The following is a 16800-nucleotide window of genomic DNA, read 5'->3' on the forward strand; positions in this document are numbered from 1 at the left end:
CAAAGTTTGTTACTGGGACACGTTCATATACTGATGGTAATGATGGAGGAAGGAAGAGGGGTGCAGGTGGGGCTGCCTCCAGGAGGCAGTGGGGACAGACCCTGAGCACTGGAGCACCTTTCTGCTGTCCCAGGAGGGAAGGCAGGTGGTAGGAGCACCTAGGCAGATGTGTGCCTGCCCATCCATGGCCACCCCGTGTGACCTGGGGCACACCCCAGTGCCTCGGTCTCCCCTCCTACCTCCCTCTGTGCTAGGGTGGAGGAGAGGTTCAGACTGGAAGGCGCCTCCTGAACTCTAGAACAGCATCAGTTCAGGTGGGGGACTAGGTGATCCTCTTTACTGGGGTCATCAGGCTCTAACCGAAATGGGATTTTACCTTAAGCAAACCCCTCGGGTGATGAGTCAGGACTTCTGACTCATCTTGGGGAGTTAATCGTGGGGAGATGAGACGATGGGGGAGGAAAAGCCAGTCATGCCTCTGGACTTGGCTGGGGGCCCCATCAAGTGGGAATGGGAAAGGAAAGAGAGCCCAACCCTCCCACCTTGAGATGAAGGCTGAGTCTGGGGGTGGGAGTGGGCAGGCTGGGCCCAGACTGACCCAGGCAGACCTGGCCACTGCTGGTCAGGACGCACGCCGAACATCTGTGAGTCACAGTTTGTTGATTAAAAGTGCACAGTTTGATCAGAAATAAGCAAAACCTGTCAGACGATCTGCATGGCTGTGAGAAATGATTCACAGCACCGGCTGGGAGCACTCACAAAGGTGGCAGAAGCCTCCAGAGGTGACAGCACTTGCTTAAAAGGGCAGCATATGATGTCATTCGGAAAACCCTGCATCCTGCTCACCGAGTGAGAATTTCCTGTGAGGGTATGCCCTGCCGGCCATGCCAAGACCAGAATCCCCAAGACAAATACAGTACGTGACACACACCAGGGAAGGCTCACGAACCATGTGTGGTTGTCAGTGAGTCTTGTGGCCTCATGTGTGCCTACTCCATACCAGGCAAAGGGTGGGAATGAGCAAAGAGTAAGTGGAGGAGAGGGGAGGGGAGAGGGTGGGGTCTGGGTCATGAGGTTGGGGGCACTCTGAGCCGTGAGTCCTTGCCAAGGCTCTGCACCACTCTGGGCCCTGATGTTCTCATCTAGGCAATGGGCTGACAACCCTTTATTGCACATTTGCTTGTTTAAGCAGACAAGACACCTGAGGACACCAGCACAAGTCCTGCACCTGCTTTGTCAAGTTCCTGGAGAAGCTCATTCTAGTCCAGTTATGAGACACGGTTAGAAACTGAAAACATAGTTTGCAGACAATTCACAGAATGAATGGCAGGCTAGGGAGGTGGGACTTTATCCTGGAGGTAATGTGGAGCCACTGAAGGTTTCAGAGCAGAGCAGGACCCTGCACCCAGGGATGATTTGGCAGAGCAGGGAGATGATAACCATGGCCAAGGGGAGGGGCAATAAAGGGCCCGGCCCTGCACAGTGCTGGGGGGCAGCAAGAACGGAAAGGGATGTGGGACCTTGGGGGCAGCATGGATGGGACTTGGCCACTGACTGGAGGTGGGAAATCTCTGGGCAAAGGGGCTGGGAAAACCCGCATCAAGAGTGGAAAGGCCTCGCCCAACTCTAACAGTATCAAGCAGACATGGAGCAAGAACACGACTGTAGCTAGAAAATAAATCTAATTTACACATAGTTTTACACTTAGGGGAAAGGATTTAGTTTATATTTAGTTTTTCCAAGGACTTATTTGCTGCATGATGAAATGAGAAACTAGGATGTAAAAAGGAGGAGTGCACCCTGTAGACTCTTTTGCAGTTCCTCCTGCCATTGAAGGTAAGGGTGGCAACACAGTGTGGAGAGAAAAAGTTCAGGGCTAGAAGCTAGGAGGTATGTGTTCTAATCCTGGGCCTACCACTGGCTGGGTGGGAGCCTCAACCTTCCAAGAGCCTTAACCTGCCCATGTATACACAGAGGGGGAGGTAGGGGCAGGCTAGAAGGCCCCTGGAGTTCTAGCATGCCTCAGTCTGGGTATTTATTTATTTTTTTTTGAGACAGGGTCTCGCTCTGTTGCCCAGGCTCGACTGCAGTAGTGTGATCACAGCTCAACACAGCCTCAACCTCCTGGCCTCAATTCAGTCTCCTGCCTCAGTCTCCCAAGTAGCTGGAACTACAGGTGCATGCCATCATACCTGGTTAATTTTTGTATTTTTTTTTCTTTTTTTTGTAGAGACAGGCTCTCACTATGTTGTCCAGGCTGGTCTTGAACTCCTAGGCAAGTGATCCACCCACCTCGGCCTCCCAAAGTGCTGGGATTACAGGTGTGAGCCACCACGCCCGGCCCAGTCTGTGGATTTTTAAAAGAAGATGACATGAAAGAGAGGGCAAAAACTAGGTGAACTGGGAGGTGAGGTTGGGCTTTGCTCCCAAGAACTTACATTTGCTTCTCCAGGGGGACGGCAGGATCCACCCTTTCTCCTAGGATCCCGCAGAACTCAGGGCTCCCATGTTTGATAGGCTTAAAGCCCCCTCCAGGGGCACGAAGCTGGCGCCGCCGGTCCCGCGAAGGTGAGGGGGATGACTGCCGCTTCTCGTTGCCATTAAACTGTGCTGTGGGGAGAGAGAGAAAGTGCAGGGTTAGCAGAGCTCAGCCCAGGGAGCTACTGTGAGGCACAGAAGGGTAACGTTCAGCTGGTCTAGTTGGCAATTTACAGCTTGCAGGAGGAAGGGTTTCAAGCAATGACATAACATGGCACAAAAGATTTTGGCTTCCTAAGACAGGACACCCACGTGATCACAGCCCAATGGTGCGTGTGAGGGGCTGGCTGAGCCTCCAGAGGCCACTGGGCTCAGCCTTACCCCCACAGAAACCTCCCTGTGGCCTCTAGCGGGGGGCATGGCACTGCCTTCGGGGGGCACTGCCTTGGGGGAACTCTGTCCTCTGGACAGTTCTCAGGGGAAAAAGCTGTTTCTTGTATTGGGCCAAAAATCTGCCTCCAAGTGGCTCCTCTCCTCCTCTCATCCCACCTCAGGCCATACTGGCCACATCTGCCCCTTTCCCTGGGATACTCCTATAGAGTGCCACTTAGGGGTCATGCTACATCCCCTGTATTCAGATCCCCCGCATGGGCCCAGGACCCAGCGCCCAGGTGAGGCTAAAGCAGTGCCCATAGCACAGGAAGGGCCATTCCACATGCTCTTCTCCCCGCCCTGGGCCTGTGGGAGCATCGTTCACCCCCACAGGCTGGGGGAGGATGCTCCTTGAGGGAGACCCTGGAGACACCACAAAGAGCAGAAAGCGCTGAGCTAAAACTGGAGTTGCCAGAGGGTTCCTGGAGACCACCTTGCCAGTTATCCAGCTGGGCCTGTTTCCTTCTCTGAAAAACAGGGATAATGACAGCACCCATCTCATGGGGATTAAAGCAGATGACACACCTAGAAATCTTAGCACTGTGCCTGTACCTGTGGAAGGTAGTCTGTGCTGTTATTATAAATCACACTTATTGTGTCTGCTCAATGCACACACAGTACTAGTCACCTCACAGAAGCAACTGAACCAACCTGAGTTCTTCTCCTAAGCCTGCCAATGATTAGCTGCGAGCCTTGGCTACGCTATTGAACCTCTTTGAGTCCCCAGGCTGCTGTGAAGGTCAGATAAGAGGATACTCCAGCGCCTGACACACAGAGGGTGCCTAAGAAACGAGGCCAGAGCCTGCAGAGGAAGGTTCCTGAAGCCGAGGCCAGCTGCAGGCTCACAAACATGTCCCTGGCTGTGCCACACAAAGGCATAAACCTCTCCTCTAACCAGCAAGCATGATTGTGGCAAGCTATCCTCCAAGCCCGGCCAGACACACGAAAATCAACCCCCATGCTCACAGAAGGTCCTGGAGAAACCTCAGCGCTGGCGGGGTAACGTGCTGTCTGCTGAAACCGAGGAGCGTGATGAACCTGTTCTACATCTCAGCCACTGAACCATCTTCCCTATCAGGGACTGTGGGGCATTTCTGTCCCTCTAAGACACTCTTTCTCCATCAACCACTTTGGAAAACAGTGGGAAGGGAGGCTCTTGCCAACAGAAGGCTCCAGAGACACCGGACCCACCCACTTTCTGGACTGTGCTGAGCGTGTGGCCAGCCTGCTACCCAGCAGTGACACCAACAGGTAGTCCACCCGCGATGACACTCCTAACCACTTATCCACATGTACTAGGCACACTTCAAGGCTGGGAAAATAGTGATGGGCACAACAGACAGAGATACCTGCCTTATGGAGCGCAGGGTCCTCGTGAGGAGAGACAGGCAATAAATCAATCTGCCTATCAGTGGCTGGGGACAAGTGCCACTGAGAAAAATACAGCAGGGCAGGAAAGCCCTCTCCAAAGGTGACATCTGAATAAATATCTGAAGGGAGGAAGGAACATCTGTAGGAAGGACACTCCAGGCAGAAGGAAGAACAAGTTCAAGGGCCCTGGGGTGGGACTGTGCCTAGAGTGAGACACAAAATGATCCAGAGTGACTGGAAGGGAGTTGGGAAGGAAGCTGGGCTTCCTAGTCTTGGGAAGGACTCTGGCTTTGTTCTGAGAGACGTGGAGAGCCGTTCTGACTGGGCGCTTCCTTACAGGATTGCTGTGCTGAAAAGAGATGGAGGCAAGGGGTGTATGGGAACACTCTGGACTCTGTCTGATTTTGCTGTGAACCTAAAACTGCTCTAGAAAGTATAGCTGGCTAATTAGAGGGACAGAGAGCATGTGTACACGGGCACACAGGAGGGCAGCGAGGCAGTGCCCGCCAGTGGTCAGATCCAGCCACATTCTGCAGGCAGAGATGGCAGGACTCGCCTGTGCATGCAAAGTGCACCATGAGAGGAGGACTACGGGTGACCACAGGCTGAAGTGCAGCATCAGAGAAGGACGACTACTGGTGACCACAGGCTGTTGACCTAAGCGCTGGAAGGATGGGCTGGCCTTACCTATGAGAGGAAGACTCACCAAAGGCCCTAATTAAGCTTCCAGAAAGCAGCATGGAGGCCATGCCTTAACCTAGAGACACCCACAGCTCCGTGATGCCAGGGCTGGTGGTGTGGAGAGGAGGCAGAGTGAGGACTCGCTGGGGGTTCCTGCCCTTCCTTCTGGCCACAGTTCTTTCCTGTGTCCAACTACACACAGACAGCAATGACCTCAAGGCCTTCCCAGGGGACAGGTCCTGGGGCTGGAGAGTGAGAAGGCCCTTTCCCATCAGCTAATAAGGGGGCTTTTGTGATAGTGGCCTAAAACCTGGAGCTGGGGCCCTAGCACACACATCACCACCAGCATCTACCCCTCGCTGGCCTTCCAGTAGCCTGGATCTCCCAGTGGGGTTCTGGCTGAATGACGGCACCCTGATGGCAACCAATCATGGGACATATGGTCTTGGACAGGGGGTTGGGAGAAGGAGAGAAAGAGGTGAAGCAGGTTCTTACCCGAGCCCCTACTTTGCAGAGCCCTCCATGGGTGACCTTGGGCAGGGGAGAGCACTGGGGCTAGACAGACAAATTGGGGCCATGTCATCCTGGAGCCCCTTTCTAAAGAGCTTGGACTTGAACTTATAGATGGGGATAATCAGAGAATGGGCTTTAGAGACCTCTCTGAGTGCTGGTGGAGGGTGGGTTTGGGGTCAATCCTGAAGACGGGAAGACCAGTCAGGGAAAGGTGATGGAGGCTGACCCCCTCAATGACGGGAGGGATGTAGAAGCTTGACTACTTGTGGGAGTGAGTCCGGGATAACTGCTGTGTGATGCCCAGATTTCTGGCTTGGGGGAGGGTGATGCCCCCATTGGGATGGGCACAGAAGGGGATGTGGTCAGGGAGCATGGGACTAGCCTGCACTTCTCCATGATGCCTCCCTGCTGCTAATTTTCTGGTTGTCAGGAATAGAGAGGATACAACTCAGCAGGCATCCTGGCCCATAGGGCTGCCAGCGTTGAAGGGCTGCGGCTTGCCCTGGCATAGGAAGGGGACTAAGCTGGAAGTGAGGTTCTAGGCTTAGTTTTGCCACAGGCTCAGGAGACCGAGGGACCAGATGAATTATAAGTCACTTTCACTCCTGACATCCTGGGGCTCCACTGGCTAAAATCAGGATTGGGGGATTTCTGCCAATATAAATCTCTACAATCGACATCCCGACACAGAAGGTGAGCAGAGAGGCATGGAGCACAGAACATGATTGTGGAGGGAGCCCAAGCTTTTCGGCACAACCCAAAAGGCTCTCTAGGACCCGGCTGCTTGTCCAGCCTCAGGTCCACCAATCTCTTCACCTCACTAATACCACTTACCCTCCAGAGGTCACCTATTTCAGGAAGCCTTCCTGGACCTCACCTCTCCCAAGACTCACCTTGATCTTAGCACCCTAACTGCATGTCCTACCCTGGCTCCCGGTGAGCCCCCTGAGGGTAGGGGCTGTATCATGTGCCCCTTCCCCCATACCTAGCCCATTACCGGCAACATAACAGGTGCTCAATAAGTGATTAAATGAAGAAACTTAATGAACTGCTGTTTAGCTTTATTGGGAAAAAAAAATCGGTTTCATACCAGATAAATTGGATAAAAACTAGTAACGTCCTAGTCAACAATGTAATTCCCCACTGAAATAATTTACACATTTGCTGGCAAGCTTAATAATATAGCCATATATCTTAGAGAGAACAGGTGGTGATGAGTGACAGGCTTAATTAGGCAAATCATTTCACCTAAAATACAAATATACAAACTCCAAGTGCAGTGATTCGGCAGCCTAAGAAAAAAAATGTTAAGAACAAAAGCACCAAACACAACTGCTCTCATTCCTTCTAATTACGTTTCTCCTTAATCTGCAATTTAACATGGCAATTCTTTTAATTTAGTGATTTTTCTGCAAAAGATAAAGACACAGTCCTTCAAAAGAAGATCTGCATTTAGAGAAAAAATATGCTACCCCCGTGAGTCATTAGAATGACAGAACCTAATTAATTTCACCTATGGGCAATTAAAAATGGAAGTTGGAATCTGAAGGAGGAAAGTAAGACTCAGAGCTGTGCAGGTTGAGGCTCTGGGAGCCCTTCTGACTTTGGTTCCAATGATGGGGACCAGACCCTGGTGGTTGATGGAAGAGAGAGGCTGGTCAATGTTTTTCCAAAAGTTCTGCCATGGTGGCAGGACTCATTCCTTGAGACCCAGCTCAAGTGCCTTGCTTCTAGGAAGCTTTCCTGGCCCTCCCATCTGGATTGGTCCCCTTTCTGCTTGTATGACAGATTTTACACCAATCAGTCCTAAAATGTGGTCACTGCCAACAACAGAAGACAGCATCCAAGACACCTAGCTTAGCTCTATCCCTCCTACTGGCCCTGCCACGTGGGTAATGGGTGAGGAACGGCGGTCCAGAGGAGTAGTAGGAGGAACTCCTCCAGGGTCTCAAAGCCAAATAGCAGGGTGAGGGTCAAGCCCAGGACTGCAGGCCTGCAAGGTCAGGCTCACCCCACCCTTGGGTCTTCATTCCCCACAAGAATACCTGAGGGCTGCTGGTCTGGCAGGAGCTGGGCCTCATTCATCTGGCCTCCCTGCTGTGCACTTCCTACTTCTAGGCCTGGAATTACTGCCCTTCTGCTCCATCTGAATGATGTCTAGGAAAGGTCTGGCACAAACGCCACCTCCTCCACAAAGCTTACCCTGATGCCACCTGCAGAGAATTATCATCTCCCTCTTGGTGGCTCCCAGCCCTCAGTACATCTCCTGTAGCTCAGGGGGCATCCACACCACTCTTCTCAGTCAGCCTGGGTGCTGTGGGTGCTGCGCCTGGGATTTATTTTTCTTTGCCCTCTCCAGTCTCTTGTCTGCCCCTAACTCACAGAAGTTTCATGTGGAGAAGGTGCTTGGATGAGATAAATGTGTTCCTTCAGGGTGGATCTCTTTCCACTGTCCTGTCCACTGTTCAGAGCTGGCCAGAGAGTAAACTCCAAAAAGCCGATGGACCTCTAAAGCATAGCTCTCCTGGGTTTGCAAACCCTCCCTGCTCCCCAGTGCCCCAAGACAAAGGACAAATTCATTCTGGCGCTCAAGTTCCTCTGAATTTGATGTAATGATGCAACTTCCCCTACAAAACCCCTGTGGGTTCCACACCCACCCTTAGGTTCCAATCACAAAGGACAGCCAGTCCCCAGATCTATCATCTGCCTTTTTGTCTTTAGGGCTTTGTTTGGCTAAGTCTACCCTCTAGAATCCCTTTACTTCACTATTTCTCTGCAAAAACCCCAGCTATTCTTCAGAGCTCAGCTCCAACGTTATCTCCTGGGGTAGGTTTTGCTCTAGACCCCCAGGTAGAATTCCTTTCTCCTCCTCTGAGCTCCAAAGTCTGCACCACTGTCCTGGCACTGGCCTCTGCAACACTGAGGCATGTAGGTGTCTTCTCAGAATTGGACACTTTGCAGAGATGGGGCCATGTGCCTCAGTCTCCTCGGAGTCTCCCCATGGCCGACCTGCAGCTAGCTCCGATGAATGGCCCGTGGCTGAAACCCACCCAGGGAATGGAGGAGCTGCAGTGACTCGACTCACAGTTTAGGAGTCAGGAGGACCTGGGTTTGAATCCTGTCTCTGTCATTACTGAGTGACTTGGGGCATGTTTCTTAAACTTCTTTGAGCCTTAGCTGCCTCATCTGCAAACCAGGGCTGACAATACCTGTACCGTGAAGGTAACAGATGATGTACCAAGGTCCAGGCAGGCCCCCTGTAAGCGGGAGACCCTGACCCATGGTCACATGTACGCTCTGATACAATGCCTGTATCAGAAACCACCCCTTTTTCTGACTCCTGCTGAAATTCCTGAGTGAGAAGCTCCAAGAAGATAGGGCATTTCATTCTGTTTTGTTCAAGGCTAAATTCCCGATACCTAAAACAGTGTCTGATGTACAGTGGATGCTCAACATCAGTTGAAGGAATGAACCTGCACCTGGCTCAGCAGGACTGTAAATCTTCCATTCATCAGTCAACAAAGGAAACTCAGGAGCTGGACTCACTCAAGTGATTTTGGGAACAGTTTTGAAAAATGGCTTCATCTTTCTTTTTTTTTTTTTAAGAGACAGGGTCTCATTCTGTCGCTCAGGCTGGAGTGCAGTAGCACGATCATAGCTCAATGTCACCTTGAACTCCTGGGCTCAAGCCATCCTCCTACCTCAGCCTCCCAAGCAGTAGGGACTACAGGTGCATGCTACCATGCTGGGCTAAGTTTTTTTTTTTTAAGTTTGTAGAGGTGGCCTCTCGCTATCTTACCCAGGCTGGTCTTGAACTCCTAGCCTCAAGTGATCCTCCTACCTCAGTCTCCCCCAAACGCTGGGATTATAGGAAGGAGCCACTATGCCTGGCCTAGCTTACTCTTTATTTAGTGATTCCTGCTCATGGGCAGGCACCATGGGGGACTTAAAGTCCACGTTCTCCTCTAGTTGTTGTGGCAAACCTATGAGGTCAGTGCTATTACTGCCCTCGTTTTTAAAAGTGACGCCCGGTATGGTTAGGTAAGTTGCCCAGGGCAATAGGAACAGGTTGCTATGACAGGCAATGGGTCCCAGCGCTAGCCCTTGAGCCCTCTGCTTTGGGACTGCAGCCCTGGGCAGCCTCCCCAACCCAGGAGTGCCTTCCCCGGCGGAGGTGCAGTGAGAGAAGAGCTGACAGTCTGCCGCACATCCTCTTGTCCTCACCATTGACCAAGGGTGCGGGCAGTGGCCCCCGGGGATAGGGGGTCATTCAAAGAGAACTGGAACGGAGCAACAGGACCCAGAGGAGACTGGCATGGTTCTCCAAGCTCTGACTGTCTGGCTGCTTCTTTCTGGCCTGAAGTCTATGACCCTCTCAGTTCTCCAGTATAAGATGGAGTTTCCTTTAAACAGAGGCAATAAAGGTTGGAATGATGAAAAACAAGGCACCGTGTGTAGACTGCTTGCAAGGAGCTCTCAACCGCCACAGGCTTCTTAGCCCCTCTGCACATGAGCTGGAATGAACATGGGCCACATTTGTAAACCATATGTGGCTGACAGGAGGGGCTTGAAGGCTGTTGCAGCCCTGGTGTTGGTTCACGAATGTACAGAGGCAGAGTCAAGGTGCCCAAGGCCTTGCACAGTCCCTGGCAGGGGTTCCTGCACAGCACCAACAGCTAGGCTGGGACTCTGGGGTGTTGGTGAGGGGGAAAGGTGGGTGAGAGTGGGGAGAGCTGAGGTGGAGAGCCCAGAAGGCACTGCTGCCCAGGTAGTTGTGCGACCCCAGGAAGGGGCAAGGAGGGGAGATTATGCATTGGTTTGGGAGGTAGGGTGGACTACATGACCCCCGGAGTCTATGAAAATGCCATCAACTTTCACAACAATGCACTAACATCTGTAGATGACTGAAACCCTGTTCACATGACAATGGGCCTCTGCTGTTTCAGCTTTCCAAACAACGTACTGTATCATCTCATCTGACCCTCACCAACACACAGCAAAACAAGTATTAGAATTCCCAAACAAGTATGAGAATTACCATTTTATAGATGACACAACCGAGGCCCAGAGAGGTGAGGCCCCTTCTTCCCTCTAGTTCAAGAGTGAGTTTTGCTCACCCACCTACCCCACCTGCCCAGTGAGTGTAGGTTCCTTTCAGGTACCTGTAGGACAAGTGGCTTAGCAAATGTTTGATTTGTATTTCCAGGATCACCAACAAGAGGCCTCTGTGTTCGCCTGGAAGACACACACAGGCCTCAGGGCATTGTGCTGCCACTCATGATGGGAGGTGCCTGAGAACAGAGGTCCTCATTGTGAGGGGAGGCGGCCAGCGACTCACCACAAAGCAGGCAAGCGGGAAGGCTGTGAAGCAGGTGCCAGGACGCTGCCTGGGTTCCAGGAACGCCGTACACACATGTCCAAACCTGGGATGGGGACGGCGGGCCTGGCAGAAGGGGCATGCCTTTCTTCTCTTATTTGTGACATCCCCAGAGGAAAAATGAATGCTATTACTGGGAGCAAAGACCCCACCCTAAGATCTGATGCTTGACTACAGGAAATCTAAAGATAAAGCCCGATGAAGATGATGAAATAACCCGAACGCAGAGGCCTCTACGGCTGCCAAAGCAAGCCATATTTATTGTCATAACTCATTATGCAGATGGGAAATGGAGGGCTGGAAAAAGGACTGACTCACCCAGAGTCAACAGTTAGACGTGAACTTGGACTTGAGTCCAGGTCTCCTGAGTCCTGGAGGCCCCTAACAAGTTCAGCATAAACCCTGTGTGAGTGCAATACAGTCTCAAAAACAACCATAGTAACCACAGTGATACATCTATGAGCACTCACTGTGCCCCCAACTCTCAGTGCATAGTACCGCCCCCACTGTACAGATGAAGAAACAGAGACAACTTGGCCCAGGTCATCCCGCCAACAAGTGACAGCACAGGACTTTAAATCCAGATACCCCTGGCCCCAGCACCTGAGCTCCTTCCTGAGTTCCGGGCCAGGCCCATCTGTAAAACATACCTGGGACCTACACACGTCTGATACAGTATGTCTCCCGACACTTTCACCTGCAGACACCCACAGACACTTATTTAGAATCCTAGAGCCTGGGAAAGTGACTTTTTCCCCATCCACAAGCCCAAAGACCTGCAAGGAGCAGGCTGGGCATTTGTGGAAATGAGTCTCCCTGTCCATAAGACCCAAAGCCCCAGCCCCACTGTGTATGTTTCTCTGCTGCCCATTGTGGATGGCTGTGAGGGAGGCCAGGAGAGATGGGGAGTGGAGGTCGGGGGGACAAGCCAGGTACTGGCCACAAATATGGCTTGCCAGGGCTGCCTGCACCCAACCAACACACCAGTCTCCAGGCCCACAATGTGGCATCTGGATTCATAGTCAATCCTCAGACAGGCAGGGACATGCTGTCCACTTCTCCCTGGAAGTTGAGACCAGAGGTGGCAGCCACAGCAGTCAATGGCTACTCAGAAATGCCCTCCTACTGCCTCACCTAGTGAGGAGACAGGTATACAGCATGCAAGAAAGACATGAAAACACACCGACTGTGTGTGGGCAGGCCATGAGATTTACTGGTATTCTACTGCTCCTAAGAGAACACAGGGTTGGTTTTCCTGAGACCCGATTTACTCAAATATCTTTTTTTTTTTTTTTCTCGAGACGGAGTCTCACTCTGTTGCCCAGGCTGGAGTGAGTGGCACGATTTCGGCTGACTACAACCTCCACCTCCGGGGTTCAAGTGATTCTCCTGCCTCAGCCACCTGAGTAGCTGGGATTATAGGTGCCTGTCACCATGCCCAGCTAATTTTGTATTTTGGGGCCGGGGTATCTGGATTTAAAGTCCTGTGCTGTCACTTGCTGGCGGGATGACCTGGGCCAAGTTGTCTCTGTTTCCTCATCTGTACAGTGGGGGCGGTACTATGCACTGAGAGTTGGGGGCACAGTGAGTGCTCATAGATGTATCACTGTGGTTACTGTGGTTGTTTTTGAGACTGTATTGCACTCACACAGGGTTTATGCTGAACTTGTTAGGGGCCTCCAGGATTCAGGAGACCTGGACTCAAGTAGAGACCTGGATTCAAGTGGAGACAGGGTTTCACCATATTGGCCAGGCTGGTCTCGAGCTCCTGACCTCAGGTGATCCACCCGCCACAGCCTCCCAAAGTGCTGGGATTACAGGCGTAAGCCACTGCGTCTGGCCTGATTTACTCAAATATCTGAGGGCTCACTGTGTGCCAGGCACAGATCACAGGTGTGAACAAGACAGGCAGGGTCTCTGACCTCAGGGAACTTAAAAATCTCCACATGAAGATCTCTGAGCTGCCAAACAGAAGAGCAAAAGTATTCTATCAAATCTTTGTTTTTTTTCCACTGAGGAGACAAAGGCACTTGGAGGAATATTTCTATCAATGTAATTAGCAGATGAAACAAAGCTATTAAACATTGGTGTTTTTTTCCTCTCCTTTTTTTAAGATTACTAAATGAATTTATTCATACGTCAAATAGAAAAACCAACTGGAAAAACCTGTCCCTCAGTAATACATTAGCCAAAGGAAACAAGTGATCCCCGTTCTCTCACTGAAACCCCCCTTTCCTGGGCAGACCTGCTGTTCACAGGTGTTAAACATTAATTACAACTGTTACTCATTACATAGCAAAAAGCATTTGGTACCAACACAATTGTTAATTTCCTCACAGGCTCAAGGCATTCTGGGAAGCTATACAGGGGACAGGAAGCATCATGGGAGCCTAAGGGGAGCCAGTTTGGAAGAGACAGCATTCTCCTGGCTAGGACAGGTGGTGGTGGTGGCCGGGTTTAAGGTTCTCCAAGGGACCCTCTGCAGATGCCGGGGCCCTGTTTATTCTGAGCACGTGAAGATGAGTCACATAGCTTGGTGGGAATAGCAAGTGTGGAGCAGTGCCCTACACACACAATGGTGGTGTTAAACCAGCTTCAGAGCGACTGTGTTTGAGGGGGACGGTGACAAGTCACGAGGGCAACATGGTATGGGTGCAACTGCTTCTGCCTTGTACCGGTGTGCAAGGGAATTCCAGCCTGACCCCAGCCACACACAGGATATCAAGGCAGCAGTGGAGAGAACAAGTGCTGTGCAGTCAGACTGGCCCAAGTTCACAGCTGTGTGACTGTGGGCAAGCTGCTCACCCTCTCTGAGCTTCACTACTGTCATCTGAGTGACGACAATGAAGTGAACCCTACCTTGCAAGGCTCTGTAGGGTTAACCTATGCCAGGTTTATAATTATTGCTCAATAAATGTTAATTTCCTGTCCCTGGTTCCTCCCCATCCTTCCTTACCTTAATGGGATTATTTTAAATTAGCTAGTTGAGCTGGCTCTGAGATGATTCATAGTTGTTTAGGAAATAGACATACCTGGGGCCTTACTTTCCCTTTTAGCCTCATTTGATGAGGCTTTGAAGGTGTCAAAACTCAAGAGGGAGGCTGGCTAAGGGGTGATACCATAGCATAAGCACCCCACACGCTGACAGTGTCTAGTGCGTATCTAGCTATTTCCGAATAAACCAATGTACTCCAGTACAGGGTGTAGTAGAAGCACAGAGGGGAAGGAACCGGTTGTGTCAGGGAAAGCTTCCTGGAGGAGGTGACTTCCCCTCCCTAACTCTATCCCAACCCCACACCTAATACAAAGCATGTACTCTGTACCCTCTATGTTCTCAAAGTGGGGTCGCCAGATGGCAGCATCAGCATCACCTGGGAACCTGTTGGAAATGCAAACTCCCATGCCTCACCCCGGATCTACCGAATCAGGAACCCTGGGGGTGGAACCCCAGCAATCTGTATAACACTTCCTCCAGGTGATTCTGATGCCTTCAAGTTTAAGACTTACTGCTCCAGGCAAAAAAGAAATCCACAGACATGTCAGACCTAGAATAGGGAAGGCGCGGATCGGAGGAAGGCCCTGGGGACCCTCTCCCACCCAGGGGACCAGTGGCCCAATCCTCGGGAGGGACTGAGTAAAGAATGGAAGAACCAGGGGACTCGTTAGAACTGTTGCTGGAATTGGGATATGGGGTTTCCTGAAGAAGTGGTGCTTTCCACACCATCCGTGCTTCCCATTGCCAGGCATAACTGGGAATGAGCTTTGGAAACAGGTCCTCTGTGGCCACTAAGTACTTCTTTATGCAACATGGTTTTTATGTTAAATTGAATTTTATGTAATACAGCAAGCCCCCTCTGAACACCAAAACCAATTCTGAAAACCAAAACACCAAATGATCCTTTAGGGCTTACCATGTCTTTTCATTCAGATCTTTTGTTTTTATTTAATCAACACAGAGATCCAGTGTGAGAAGTTGTGACCATCCCCATTTTACAGATAAGTAAACTAAGGCTCAGGGAGACTGAACAGTCTGTCTCAGGTCCCGAAGTGGTGAAGGGTGGAGCCGGCATGTGAACTTGGGACTGTCTGACTCATCCCATTGCCCCATGGGTCCCAACATGCAAGACACTGTCCTAAACTTCTAGGGCAGAGAAATCTGCCAAGGAGCTAGTGGGGAAGACAGATAAGTACCCAAAATAAGTATGCTGAGCAGTATTTGAGTCATGTGTCTTTTATCTTTGCTATGAGGCAGACCTGGCTGAGCCAAGGACACTGCCTGAAGAGTAACTTTCACGGAGACAAAGCTTCAGATGGTGAATCGAAATGAGATGACTTAGTTTCTCAAGAAGGTCTGGGGGGTGCCCTTCACACACCCTCCTGTCATCTGGCTCCTCTATCAAGCTCAAGAGCTGCAGTTACTTACTTCTCAGATACAAGTGCAAATTATTAAAGACATAGCCGTTTACTCACTGGGTTAAAAGGAAATGCTGGTCATTCCTCTATGTATGGCCTGACTGGCTCTGCCATGAGGTCTCCAGCTGTTCCCTTCTCCACTCTGAGCCTTAGTTTCCCCAGAAGGACAGGGAGTGGGACTCTATGGTATGTGGGACTCTATGGTATACGGGCCCCTCTCTGTGCTGAGTGGTGGTAGGAGAAGACCAACCCATGGGATGGCGCTGGTCCCCCTCCAATGAAAGCACGAACCTCCAGAACCCAGTCCCCCACAGAAACCCTGACTGGATCCATTTCAGGTGGGAAGCCACCACCCAGTTACATATCCTGGTGTAGATGTCGCAGAAATTAGTGCAAGTGAGATGAAGAAATTAGTGCAAGTGAGATGAAGGGCATGCGATACCTCTTGAGGGCTGTGGGGGGATGAGAGCTCCAATCATATTTCCTGCAGCATCTTGGATAGCACCAGAGAGGCCAGACATTTGACTGGGTTAGGGCAGGGGCTCTGGAGTTGGAGCTGACAGGTTCAAAGTCCGGCTCTGCTGCTGACCAGCCATGGGCTGGGCCCCCAGCCAAGTTATTTCTTCTCATGGGACCTTAGCTTCCTTATCTGTAAAAGGAGGAAACTAACCTCCCAGAGGGTGATTATGAGGATTGAATGAGAGAATGCACACAGAAAGTGCTCAGTAAATGCTAGCAACAATGCCAGTACTTTCCTGATGTGATACCCATCAAATCTCACCAAGACCCTTCTGAAGTGGGAACTACTGGTCTTACTTCCCAGGTGGAGAAACTGAGACTCCCAGGACATGTTCATGCCCAGTCCTCACACTGGTCCTTCAGAGGTGTGAAGACACCGATTTGGTGTCTTTGCCACCTCCACCGAGGTCTGCTTCTACAGGCTATCCACCCCGGCTCCTTGGTCCCTGCCTGTGGGCCCCTCCCTACGTGGCCACTTTCTGCTCAGGTTCCATTTGTCCATCTTGCAATCTGTGCCACACAGCCTGGCAACCAGGTAGACCTGCCACACCAACCTGCACCACCCCCAGACACCATGACATCATCCAAGGCTCCTTGTCCCCTTCCCAACATTGGGCAGGGGGTGCCACATAGGCCTCGTGTGGGCCCAAGCTGCACCTGGCGGGGGTGGGTTGGGGACAGAGCAAGAAGGCCATTTCTAGACCCAACTGCTGGCCTTGCTGGTTGCTGTAAAGACTCCTGGGGTGATTCAAAGTGGGCCAGGAACAGAGTCTAGCCTGCTCTGGAAGGCTGGTGTCTCTGCCGGGTGGGAAGGGGGCTGACAGCTTGATGGAAGCCACATCACTTCCCTGTGGAGGCAGAGCTGCAGTCCACTCCCTGCAGCCAGCAGCCCGTGGTGGAACCTGACTGGGCATTGTCCTGGGGATTGGGATCCGACAAGTGGGAGTGGGGGTCTGGTGAGGCCACAGTCAGCTTCCTGGAGAAGAGCAGGCAACGAACACCCAGGGTTTGCTGTT

General features: G+C 51.5%; 1 protein-coding gene across 1 annotated transcript in view, besides 2 other annotated features; it reads right to left on the reverse strand.

Moving 5' to 3' along the window:
• The window catches only part of SHB (SH2 domain containing adaptor protein B), a 153330-nt gene that overhangs the window by 37547 nt on the left and 98983 nt on the right, over positions 1–16800 (reverse strand). Inside the window, exon 4 of the mRNA NM_003028.3 lies at positions 2439–2610. Within this exon, the coding sequence (NP_003019.2) occupies positions 2439–2610 (172 nt within the window). The remainder of the gene's footprint in view (positions 1–2438; positions 2611–16800) is intronic.
• Positions 343–472: an enhancer, noted in NCBI's record as "active region_28406". NCBI's record gives its function as "activates an Ori minimal core promoter by ATAC-STARR-seq in GM12878 lymphoblastoid cells {active_cell/tissue: GM12878}" and the evidence as "EXISTENCE:reporter gene assay evidence [ECO:0000049][PMID:35858748]".
• Positions 683–972: an enhancer, noted in NCBI's record as "active region_28407". NCBI's record gives its function as "activates an Ori minimal core promoter by ATAC-STARR-seq in GM12878 lymphoblastoid cells {active_cell/tissue: GM12878}" and the evidence as "EXISTENCE:reporter gene assay evidence [ECO:0000049][PMID:35858748]".

Source organism: Homo sapiens, chromosome 9 (genome assembly GCF_000001405.40).
Source record: "Homo sapiens chromosome 9, GRCh38.p14 Primary Assembly".
NCBI classification, from domain to species: Eukaryota; Metazoa; Chordata; class Mammalia; order Primates; family Hominidae; genus Homo; species Homo sapiens.